The 13,833-nt window shown below is 33.3% G+C and overlaps 1 long non-coding RNA gene across 1 annotated transcript in view; it reads right to left on the bottom strand.

The window, feature by feature from the left end:
• The window catches only part of LINC00333 (long intergenic non-protein coding RNA 333), a 466,167-nt gene extending 461,386 nt beyond the window's left edge, over positions 1-4,781 (bottom strand). The window contains exon 1 of the long non-coding RNA NR_046871.1: positions 4,740-4,781. This is a non-coding gene — a long non-coding RNA (long intergenic non-protein coding RNA 333). The remainder of the gene's footprint in view (positions 1-4,739) is intronic.
• Positions 4,782-13,833: the final 9,052 nt, after the last annotated feature.

The following is a 13,833-nucleotide window of genomic DNA, read 5'->3' as shown; positions in this document are numbered from 1 at the left end:
CAGGCTTTAAGAATTCGTCCTTAGATAATTCTGATGACAATAATAATTGTCAAGTTATCTTCTGAGTCTTGTGATATCAGAAAGAATCTTAACAATTTGATTTATATTTTTTTTTCTTTAGAGAAAATGTTAGGAGATATATGTAGAATTACCTAGAAGGTCATTACTAGAAATTTAGAAGTGATCTCGACAAGAAGGGTGGATTAGGGCAGGAGTTACCCCACAAGGCAAGGCATTTAATAATTGACAGAGACATTTCGGGTTGCAACAAATGGGAAATTGCTACTAACATCTAGTGGGTAGAGGCCAGCAATGCTGCTAAACATCCTAGAACACACCTGACAGACTCCCACGACAAAGGCATATTTATTCCAAAATGTCTATGATACTGAGGCTGAGAATCCCTGAGTTAGATGGCATCATCGTGGAGTTAGATGCATTGACATTATATATAAACAGACTACACCAATTTTAGTTGACTCTAAAAAGTTTTAGTTGACACTAAAGAACAGTGTTTTCACATCTACCTCTTATTCTTTCTTGCATCACATATCTTCTAAATATCTACTTGACCTTAGATTTAAAGTTGTAAGTCACTATTCATGACATACCACACTATAAGATTTATTTATTCCTTACTGTCTACTCAGCTCTTGGCCCAGTGTCTGACCAGTGTTAGGCAAACAAGTGTAGTTATGATATAATAAATAAAATAATAAGTACTTTTATTATTTTTACTATTGTATTTCTTAACTTACTTCAAAGAAATATGCACATTTTTCCAGGAATAAATACTAATGATCTATATGTTCCAAAATTAGATATTAATTAATGAGAGATGCATGGCACATAATAGATGCTCACGACATGTTTAGTGAATACTTGTGTGAAACACGTAGACTAGAAGCCTTGAGAAAATAAATTTTCATATCAAGATAAAGATCTTTAAAAGACTTTGAAAACAAGAAATAGCAGATAAAATGTCAACTGGCCATTAGGTATGCTTATTCTATTTTGTCAATATGACATTCGATTGTCAATTTTATTTGTATACTATGAACTTCAGTAAGACATATTGATGGCAAGGTTAAAAATTAACTCATGTAGCCAGATAGCTATTTGATGTCACCACTAAAATAGCATCTAAATCTGAACTTGCCTAAAAAAAGAATGTTTGTTCTCCCCAATACCTTGTTTCCCGATTCTCACTCATTTCTGGACATGACATCATCCAGTGCTCACTTTAACTTAAACTCAAAACCTAAACATTATTTTGCTCTTTTCCTCATCCTGATATCCAAAGGATCCATGCGTTCGTTAGTAAAATCTCCAAACATAGAATTAATCCTTTTGACTACATCACTATTGACAATCCCCAAATCAAGATACCATTGCCTACACTCTGGATTATAGCAACAGCTTCTTCACTGACCTCTCTGCTTTCATTCTTGTTCCCAAATTTCCATTCTCTATATAGTGGCCTAAATAAATTGAGAAAAATAATAAATTAACTGATGACATTTCTGCTTATAAATCTAAAACTCTATTACTCCATTTAGTATAAACTCATTAATGCAGCACAATAGATTTCTTCGCTGCTTTCCTAGCATCATTTCTGTCTTTCCCACAGAAGATTCCTGTAGTTTTAGGGAAACTTTACTTTTGCCTCCTGGTTAGGAATATGCAACTAAACATTTAAACAGAAACAGAAAATCCTGTCAACATATGTTACACCCATGATCACAGGATTGACAAAGGGAAGGCATGTGACTTACACCTATCCAATCACAGTGAATTTCAGAGAAATTAGTGGAAACTGTGGAACACAAACTTTTCTATACTATGAGCGCTTGAACTGCTTCAGCAATTTTGAGGTCAGGAGAAAAGAAAGAGTCTGAGGACATAACCAACGTATAGAGGCAAAGAGCTGAGGAAATTACAGGGAACAGAATTCTCCACAGTGATAGACTGGATAAAGAAAATGTAGCACATATACACCATGGAATACTATGCAGCCATAAGAAGGATGAGTTCATGTCCTTCGCAGAGACATGGAAGAAACTGGAAACCATCATTCTCAGCAAACTAACACAGGAACAGAACACCAAACACCGCATGTTTTCACTCATAAGTGAGAGTTGAACAATGAGAACACATGGACACAGGGATGGGAACATCACACACCAGGGCCTGTCGGTGGGTGGGGGGCTAGGGTAGGGATAGCATTAGGAGAAATACCTAATGTAGATGACGGGTTGATGGGTTCAGTAAAACACCATGGCACATATTTACCTATGTAACAAATCTAACCTGCACGTTCTGCACACACAGGTATCCAGAATTTAAGTATATATATAAAAAAAAGAATTCTGTATAAACAACACTTGAAGTACCTCTGACTTCTGGGTTACAGTGGCCAATACATTTCTTTCTTGTTTAAGTGAGTTATAGTTGGATTTTGTGACGAAAAACATTCTAAAGCAGCAGGGCTTAGCCATTGCTATCTCAGGACTCCTTTACACTCTTACATATTATTCAGAACTCTATAAAGCTTTTCCTTATGTGAGTTTATCTGGTAGTAATTTTAAAATAGCATCCATAAACTCATTACTATATATGCTCTTTAACTCATAAGATAAAGAGCAGATATTTGTAAAACTAACTATGTTTTCCAAAACAATATGCTGAGTGAAAGAACGACATTATTTTACATGTTTGCAAATCATTTTAACATCTGGCTTAATAAAAGACAAATGGAATCTCATATCTGCTTCTGCATTCCATCTGCTGCAATTTTTTTACCATTTTGAAGAAAATCTTATCACACCAGAATATGTAATTCTAAAGAAGACATACAAATGGCCAAGAGGCCATTTTCATGTGAAAAGAAGCTTAATATCACTAATCATTACAGAAACATAAAACCACAATGAAATATCATCTCACACCTGTTATGATGGCTATTATTTTTTTTTCAAAAGTAGAAGACACATGTTGGTGAGGATGTGGAGAAACTGCAACTCTTGTATACTGTTGGGAATGCAAAATGGTGCACCCACTAAACATGATGGAGTTTCCTCAGAAAACTACAAATAGATCTCCCATATGATCCAGTAACATCACTTCCAGGTATTTATTCCAAAGGACTGAAATTAAGGTCTTAGAAAGATATTAGTACTTTCATATTAATTGCAACCCTATTCACAATAGTCAAGATGTGAAAATAACCCAAATATTCACATATAAAAGAATGCATTTTTTAAAATCTGGTATATACATACAAGGCAATATTATTCAGCCATAATAAAATAAAAAATCCTGCAATACATAACAATATGGATGAAGCTTAAGGACATCATTTTAAGAGAAATAAGCCCATCACAGAAGGAAAAACACTTCATGATTCCACTTCTATGAGGTATCTAAAATAGTCAAACTCAAAGAAGCGAAGAATCAAGTTTGTGGGCACCTTGCTTAGACTTCCCAGCCTCCAGAACAGTGAGAAATAAATGTCTGTTGTTTAAAGTGTCCAGGCTATGGTTGTTTCTTATTGCAGCCTGAGCTGACTAAGACACTCTTACACCCCCAATTTCCTCCTCTAGGTTTAATTTCAATCTGTTCTCTTAAATCCCATCATTATCTAAAAATATTATAGATTCCAACTATTTTTATTGACTATAAAAATATTTATTTATTTTTGTTACCACTTCAGTCTGTTTAGTTGTTCAATAGATTAAGTAAGTAACACTGAAATATAGTGACATTTGCCACAAATCTGAGATGCAGGGGATGATGAATTTTAGACAAAAAAAAAGTCGAATTTACACCCTCGTCTACAAAATGTTGTAGTAAAATAGACATTTTCTTTGGCTTTTATAATTATTTACCTCTTCCAATGTGTAAAAGGAAAAGTTGATTCTGTAGCCATTGTGGATATTAGATATGATTCACATTGATGTCACTCTTCAGTTGATTTTTTTTTTTTTTAGATTTAGTTACTTAAAGTTAGTTACCTGTGGAGTAAATGAATGGATCAGGTGGCACAAAAAAGGAATTGAAGCCAGACATTCTGGCAGTATTAAGAAATAGTTTGTGACTGTCAAAATCTGCCAGGAAGAAAAGGAGACCACACTTGGTCGTAAATTACATCCTACGCATTAATTTGCACTTATTATAGGGGCATATAGGTCCAAGACTCTACTGATCTGAATAAGTGAAACAATGATATCTCACCACTTAATATTGTTTGATGATAATTGTTGGATTCCAATGAGAATAGAAGTAAAGTCTTTGTGATTTTCCTAGGTAAGGCAAGGCAAACAGAATCAACAACATCTGCGATTTACTGCATTTATGTACGGCTTGTTAGGGAGAGAAGGAATAATGCTGGCAGCACTCTGCAATTTTCATCTCTGCTGCAAAAGGGCACAATGATTTTTCACTTTACAAAAATAGTTACTATTAGTCCTGTCATACAAAACCATTTAACACAGTTGATTTGGTATTGTATCACTAAAATTTCAAATGAAATAACTGTATTCTCATGCCAGAATCAGACTGCATTGTAAATATTTTTTTCTAGCTTGTATTCTCTTGTATTCATGAAAGAAGGATGAGGAGGAATTATGTACACACACACACACACACACACACACACACACACCAAACACTTCTAAATAATTCAGCTAGCTAAAAATCTTTTGTTTGCCAGCAAACAAGCAATGCTAATACTTACATACTCTATTTTCTCTGCTTTGCTTCATCAGATAAAACCAAACTGGACACTAGGAGATATATTTTATGTGAACTGCACAGGGAATTAGCTCTGCAGTTTCCAGGGACAACAGTAAAATTTGTGTGCTGGATTGCATTTGTGTTATTTAAAGTAAGTCAGATATTTCAAAGCAAGCTGATTTAAGGAAACTGAAAATATTTCTTAAGTGATTAAAACAGGGTAGGATATTGTTTGTGCCATTTCAAAATAATATATTGTTAGGATTTTTATTTCACAGATTTTTAAAATTTGTATTATAAAATTTAAAATAACTAGCAAATACTATAGTGATATGGGCAATGGGACAAATAATTTTTCATTTATGGCATCAATGAAATTAGAAGGAACTAAGTGCTAGCAACATGAAAACTTTTTTAATAATTTGAGGTTTAGAAGACATTTTAATGTGCCTGTAAAAAACATTACAATATTTTAAAAATTTATATCTAAAACTGAATGCCTATTTTGAAGGAAATAAAAGGAGCTAAGATACATTAATTGCCTATTAGGCACCAGGATATTTTTCAACAGTGAGGTGTTGTATGATATGGAAGTATTTCCTTCATTTTCAGTTGATAAATTAAGCTCATTTACACTTAAGTGGTAAATGCTTAGCATATTGTGAGCCAGGACAGGCTTGGGCCTGCTCTGACCTCAAAGTACTTGTTCAATGAAAGCCCTATCCTGTCTTTTCTCTCTTTGGAATCTAATGAATAATTTAATGAATGCTCTCTTTTCACCAAAATACTCTTAACTAAAGAATGGAAGTGCAATGCAGGCAATTATTATAAATTACATGAAAATAGTCACTGTAAATAAATAAAGAGTTTAACACAGTGAGCAAGATTTAAAGACTTGGCAATGAAGATTAAGAATTATAAAGAAACAATGAATTGTGGAATGCTACATATTATACTTCAAAAACTACAATTCAGCTTTTGGAGGTAGGGAAGGAGAGAGGAAAGAAGGGATTGAGTGAGGGAAAGAACAAGACAGAGAGTGAGAGCGAAAGTGAGCAAGAGTGAGCGACAGAGAGAGAGAGAGATTGTCACTATCCTGTAAGCCAAGTTGAAATATCGCAACTGTGATCCATATGTCAATCAATAATTATCTCCTTGGATCCAATAACACACTTGAGTTGCAATAATTCTGGTCTGTCTTTATAGCCAAACATTCAATCTAGTTATGAAGCATTGTCTTTTAAATCCCCATATCTCCCATATATAATATCTTTGACCCTAACAAAACCATACAAATGTGTTATTCAACTGCTGCAAAAACAAATAATAATAATAAGGTCAAGGCATAGTACAAAATACTATGATATTCCATAGTATGTTCCTGGTGGGATATTAGATGGCATTAACAACCACACAGGTCATGAGCTGAAAGTTACTATAGTCTGCACTGAAGTTATAATAGACATTGTTTTCTTCCAAACACACGTGCGCACGTGCACACACACACACACACACACACCATATATATAATAGAGAATGGTTCAGATCTAAATTTCTGGATTACAGGTAAAACTTCCTTAGCAATATGAAATCTATTTTCTTGTTGTAAAAAGACCACTGGAAAACATTTGCTTGTTTTGTTCAATTTACAGAAATTATGCATTGTGTAACTGACCATGTAGCCATACAGCTTTAGATAATCTTTAGGCCTTTTCTACTTGACAACATGTATTTTTCTGTAGCAATTGCTACATTACCTGTTACAACGTTGCATCTCTTTTCATTTTGTTTTAGTTTTAAAAAGCATTTTTTGCTCCCGCCCTCCACTCTTCAATAAGTCCTTCTGGAAATGAGGCACATTAAAATACATTAATTTTAGAAATAATTTTTCCAAAAGTATTCAAGTTTATAGAAAAAATTATGGTAATCTGAATACTACATACTGAATGCCACATAGAATATCACATTAATGATCACAAATAATTATGCGACGCTAGGCTGAATATTGTGCCATTGCCAATCCAACCCTAGTTTGAATACACCAAAATCCATTTTTACTAAAGATTTGTAATTTAATCCCCACCCTGACCTCAAATCAACAGCAAAATATACTAATAGACCCACAGAACTGTGGTTAGCATGGAGGGAAACATGAGGATGAAGAGAAGAAAGAACATTTTGCCTGTCATCTCTCTGTTTGGAATCTACTGTTTAAAGATACAGTGCTCCAATACATAGATAATATAAAAACTTCTGCTACAGTCCTGAGAAACTCTTATTTTGAAAGTAAAGACTAATTTATATAGAAAGATTCTATATTTATTATGAGAATCTAGAATATCGAAGGATTGATAAAATATAAATAATAAATCACACTGATATGAGCTGTAAATAAATATAACTTAGATTTTACCTAAACAGACTACCAAAACTATTTGACGAGGTAATAAAAATATGAAATATGTTGCTATACAGAACAGCTCTAAATAAAACTTAGAGACTGAGATAAACAGCTAAAAAATAAATGGGTAGATTTTAGAAAAATGTGGACAAAAATTTCCTCAGAATGTATAATGTGTATATTTTATTTCAAAATGAATATTGGTATTTTCAATATACAGAAAAAAATACTATTTGATACCTTCTACTGAGAATATGGCTCATTTAAGTTATATTTAAATGATAATCAGCTTGACTCTAATATCTCAAATATCCAGGAGTTTTGTGCATATTTAATATAAATTAAATAAATGAATAGTATCTGCATGATGCACATATACCTAATGAGCAAAATTTATGTTACTATTATATTAGAAGAAATAGATGCAATGATTCTAGAATATTGGACTACTTATTCATTTAACAAAACTTTATCTGTAACCTATTCCTATTATATATAATGTATTACACACATTGTGCTGGATTTCAACTCCTATTACTAAACAAAACTTCGTTCCTTTTAAGCTCCTCCCTGTGTTAAAGACATTGGAAGATTCAAAACTGCTTCTCTCAGATTTCCTTGGTTTCACATACTATTTAGATTTCAAGAATGAGAGGTACTCACATAATACATGGAAGATGAAAGAGAAAGAGAAACCAACATTCTTCTTTATTAAGTATGCCAAATACGTTGGCCTCGACCACACTGGCTTCCTCTCTACCAGCCTGATCTGACTAACCACAATGTTAAGTGTCTTAGAGACTGAGAAGAGTTGAGCTGTATGGCACCAATCAATCAGCTGTAAACAGGCTGATTGCATTAAATCAGAAGTTGAATTTGTTTTTCTACATTAGAGTAACTCAAGTTTGGGAGTATGAACTTGCCCTCCCTGATTTCAATGCTTCTGCCTGCATCACCATCCATGGTACTCTTGAAAGCCTTATATACATGATGATTTTCCAAATATCATTGATTTTGACCAGAAAGATAATGGATTTGAAGCCAATAAGATTGATTTTTTCCTATCTTTCTCATCATCCAGAAGCAGATGGCCTGAGAAAATAATAGAATATCCTGTCAAAGGCTCAGTGGTGGTGTTGCTGCTGCCACAACACATTACATTTTTGGACCACTCTCCTACCAAATTCAGTCTATTCTTTGAAACAGCAGTTAACGTATTATACAGCATAATAGTTACTCTGGTAAGCAGGATCAATGAGTCCAGGCATGAAGAAGGAGAGTTGAAGTTCATTCCTCTATTACCTCTGATGACCCAGTTGTGAAATATTTTCTTCCTGTCCCCACACTTTGGGCTTTTCTAGCTTAGAGAAATTAGTTCCCAAGGGAAGAAGGCTTTAAACAAGACAGAGTAATTGTCTCACTGAACTGTAAGTTGGAGCTGCAAACTGATCACTAAATCAGCTGAAGTTGAAGTGACTCTTGTGGCTGAGGTGATAGATCCTGATGACTAAGGGGAATCATAGTTGTTGTTCACAATAAGGGCAGGCAATAACGTCTCTAGAATCAAGAGAATTCTCCAGGTGCCTCTAAGGTTTTCTACATCTAGTATTAAGAGGGAATCATTTTTTAAAAAAGATTATTTCACTGTACTACCATAAGTCTTTCAACAGTGAAAGCTTATGTCTACCTACCAGGTAAAAGCCTCATTTTCTGATGGCAAAGCAATCTTTGAATGTATGAAGGCTACAGTCCCATGACAAGAAATAAGAACTGTAGTACCTTCCTGTGTCTTTTTTTAATTGCTCTTAATTCATATGTGATATATGTGTGTATATATAATAGTAACCAAATTTTATCCCCTTTACTGTATAATTTAATAGAAGCTATGTTGGTGGATTATCTAGGTGGGCCTTATGTAATCTTAAAGGTACTTAGAATAGGGATGCAGGATGGGTCAGAGTCATGGAAAAGGGAATGTGATGCTGTAAGCCAAAACTGGAATGACGAAATTTGAAGACAGAGGAAGGGGCCACGTACTAAAAACTTAGATGGCCTCTAGAGGCTACAAAAGAAAAGGCAATAGATTCTTCCCTATAGCCTCCAGAAGGATACAGTCCTGAAAACACCTTGATTTTAGTCTAGTGAAACTGATGTTAGACTTCTGGCCTCTAGAACTGTAAGGGAGTGAATTTGTGTTGTGTAAAGCCAGCAAGATTATAGTAATTTCCTACATCAGACATAAGAAATGAATACAATTATGTTTCAAGTATGTATTTTATGTTAACTATGTATATTTTGCTTTGTTGATTCAGTACAAAGCTCTTCAGTAGTAAAGACAAATACATTACTTTTTGAAATAATGCCTCAAAACAACTTACTGTGAAACTCCACCTAATTGTTCATCACAATTATAAAGGCTGAATAGTATTCAATTTTAAAACCACAGGTCTTAGTTATCACTGAGATTAAGATATATTATTGTGCTAACATGATGGTCAAAATGAAAATATTCATCCCCCTACACACAAAAAACTAAAAGCGTATAACAGAAGTATAACTTTAAAAATATGAACAAGTAGGCCCTTCAACAACAGCAATACAAATAAAATACCTAAAATAATGTATAAAAATAGATATATGGCAATTAAAGAAATGAAAGAGAAGCTTGTAGTGGAATGCAAAATAATTTTGTACATAGTAAAAAGATAATATGATCATCTTGCCACAAAACTGTAACAAACTGGAAAGCTGCAGCAAATAAAAACCACTCCAGCAAAAGTAGAGACATGTATTCAAATTGCATGAAGAATGATGGTAAAGTATCCACTTTTTTCAATACTCTTCTATACAATAGAAGTACACCATTCTTTGTCTTTAGAAATTGTCACTTATTAAATACAAATGAAATGTACATATTTTAAAAGATCCTTGACACTCTCCTTTGCTTTTCATCAGAAAACATCATAGAATTATAACTTTTATTCTTACTGAGCATGTTTTGATGTGAACCATTCATCATTTATGATGCTATCACAGCTTGAACAAGAATTTGCATTTGAAAACTCAACAGAAATATTTTTTGGCTAAAAAAAACTTTGTTGAATGTGGAAGAATAAAACTACAATATTTTTAACAATTCCTACTGCATATGCAAATTTCTATAACATCCAGAAATGCATTAGTTGTTGGTGTAATGTTCTTTTTGGTGTAATATTAACATTTATTGTTTCCTTTAAATGCAGGTATATACACAAATGCATACATATTTATGTGTATATATACACACATACATATACATTCATACATACATGTGTACATAATTATCCATAGTTTATCTTTAATCATGTAGTAAGAATCGTAGGTGCTGTGACTGTTTTTTTTTTATTTAAATTTTATTTTATCTTATTTTATTTTATTATTATACTTTAAGTTCTAGGGTACATGTGCACAACGTGAAGGTTTGTTACATATGTATACATGTGCCATGTTTGTGTGCTGCACACATTAACTCGTCATTTACATTAGGTATATCTCCTAATGCTATCCTTCCCCCCTGCCCCCACTCCACGACAGGCCCCGGTGTGTAATGTTCCCCATCCTGTGTCCAAGTGTTCTCATTGTTCAATTCCCACCTATGAGTGAGAACATGAGGCAAATGGTTTTCTGTCCTTGCGATAGTTTGCTGAGAATGATGGTTTCCAGCTTTATCCTCGTCCCCACAAAGGACATGAACTCATCCTTTTTTATGGCTGCATAGTATTCCATGATGTATATGTTCCACATTTTCTTAATCCAGTCTATCATTGATGGACATTTGAGTTGGTTCCAAGTCTTTGCTATTGTGAATAATGCTGCAATAAACGTAAGTGTGCATGTGCCTTTTATAGCAGCATGATTTATAATCCTTTGGGTATATACTCAGTAATGGGATGGCTGGGTCAAATGGTATTTCTAGTTCTAGATCCTTGAGGAATCGCCACACTGTCTTCCACAATGGTTGCACTAGTTTACAGTCCCACCAACAGTGTAAAAGTGTTCCTGTTTCTCCACATCCTCTCCGGTGCTGTGACTGTTTTTGAGTTATATGTCTAAGGGGTGAGGCTATGGGAAAAAGACACCTGAGGCAAAGAATGGCGTGAAACAATGTGGTGAGGTGTGTTGATTGTGCTACCTACTGCTCTAAAGAGGCCCGGAAAGACAAGGAGTGCTCCCAGGCATTCTGTTAGTTTGACGTTATAGAATATAGCTGCTAAGGTGGAAGAATAAAACTGTCTCTTGGAGGAGTCTATCAGAGATAGAAAAGAAAGGGTATGTAATTGACCAGCTACCCCTTACCTTTGAGTTTGTGTTGGCTAAGTTTATCCCTCCAGACAGGTCACTTACATTGCTTGCTCATCATCAGTGTCCCATCTGAAAGTGGAAAGCCATCTAATGATGAGTGCTGATCTTCATGGAAGCAACAGGCAATACAGCACACCTGAGAAGGTGCACCAGGTTTCTGCCCAATATATGACTTTTCTCAATTTTATAAATAAAACATGTAAATCGACACCATTTCTTTGGTCAATATTTTCCCAATGAGAATCTCTTAAAGTTATGCAGAAATAATATCAATTTTTTAAATCAGAGTAAAATAATTTTCTCTAAATATTTTTTTCATTTGTACCAAAATAATGACTAATTTAATCACAGTAAATGATATACAAGTCAATATCATTTTATATTTGTGTTCAATTGTATAAATTCTGATTGAAAAACTGAATAATATAAATGTGAATCAAAAAAGCAAATTTTAAACTGTAATAAAATATCTGGCTTTTAGTATAAAATTGTATAAATGTTTTGATCTCACTATTCTCTGTCTCCTTTGTGTTTGTATATATATTAACAAATTTTGCTTTTAGGATGAAATTTTATAAATGTTTTGTTCTCACTATTCTTTCTGTCTCCTGTGTGTGTTTATTAATTCATAAAATGAATTAATATATGTATATAATAACCACAAATTTAACAAATTTTTAAAAAATTTGTATGGTGCCATTCTTAATCTCTTTCAAATATTTAAAATACTGCAGCGCTCATACCACTGAATTGAAAAATAAAATAAAATGTCTATGTCTCTGATTTTTATTTACTTTAATGTAATAGAAAGAACATTATCCTGGGAATTAGAGTAGATCAATATGTGCCCCCACTCCTCCTCTTAACCAAATGTTCCATTTAGTGTCTTAAGAGTCATAGGTCTTTTAATTCCTCCCAGAAAGATGACTCAGTATAAAATAAGTAATTTCTAGCTTTCCTCCCAATCCCAAGATTTTATTCAATCTAGTATTTTATTGTTGATGCAAATTTTAGTATCTATTTATGGTTTAGGTCTAAGACCCTATTTTAGACTAAATAGGGTCTTAGGCTGCCATAACAAACTACCATAGGCTGAGTGCCTTATAAAAAACATAAATTTATTTCTCACAGTTCTAGAGGCTGAAAGTCCTAGATTAGGATGCCAGAATAATTGGGTTCTGGTGAGGGCCCAATTCCTACCTCATCCATAGATGGCTCTCTCCTCACATGGCAGCAAAAAAGGAAGAGGCTCTCTGGGCTATCTTTTACAAGGGCACTAATCCCATTAATGAGGACTCCATTTCATGACTTAATCACCTCCTCAAAGCCCCATATATCAATACATCATATTAAAGGTCAGGATTTCAACAAATAAATTTTCAGGGGATGCAAACTTTCCATCTCTAATAGCTCCTAGATGAAATTCAGATCAAGTGAGATATGAACTCCTCAGAGGCTGAGTTTATTTCACTGATTAATCCTGATGAATTTCACTTTAGACAGTAATAGAAAGTATAAAATAAAAAACATAATAATTCATTGACTAATGACTGTGGATACATAATGTTATTAATGAACTACGTTTCTTAATCTATTTTCCTCTTTTTCAATATGGCTAACTTTGTTCAAACAAGCATTAGTGGTGTATAAACACAGTGTATATTTGTCTTTATAGCTCCAGGATATGTGGTGGGAGAATTATCAACTATACGTAGATTTATCTGACATGATCTGGTCTAGGGATCTAGAAAGTTTTTGGTCACAAACCTCTATCTATGAAAAAAAAAGACTCTCTTTTGTTTATGTGGTTATATATATTTATATACTGATTACTACTATATAATATAAATTATAAAATATAAAATATACATTTTATAAGACAAGAAATCGATTTTGAAATTATATTTATTTTTCAAATTTTGTTAAATCATCTGTACAAAGTCTGGAATGCATACACCTGAATTTAAAGATCATGGCTCCCGACAAGGTGATTTAGCTCCCATATATCTGTGCATTCATTCATTCAAATCAGTAAAAAGTTTTTGAGAACCAGCGGGGAAAGTCATGATAAGCAAGAATGGCAATTACACATATTCTTACATAGTTTACTTACAAGTGAGAAGAAAGCCATGAAATGCATTTAAAAATAGGTAATATTTTTATACTACCTATGTATACTATGTTTATAAGAACATGTTTATACTATGTTTATAAGAACAATTGTATTATGTTCTTATAAACATTTCAAATTATACATCAAATAATATACTTCTAGAAAAAAAATTCTACCGTGAAAATAACACCGAGGCTTTTCTTTCAAATGAAATAAATAGGAAAAGCACTTAGCACATGCCAGA

Source organism: Homo sapiens, chromosome 13 (assembly GCF_000001405.40).
Source record: "Homo sapiens chromosome 13, GRCh38.p14 Primary Assembly".
Classification (NCBI taxonomy): Eukaryota; Metazoa; Chordata; class Mammalia; order Primates; family Hominidae; genus Homo; species Homo sapiens.
The sequence above is the reverse complement of the archived record's forward strand: the minus strand, read 5'-3'. Positions and strand labels throughout refer to the sequence as shown.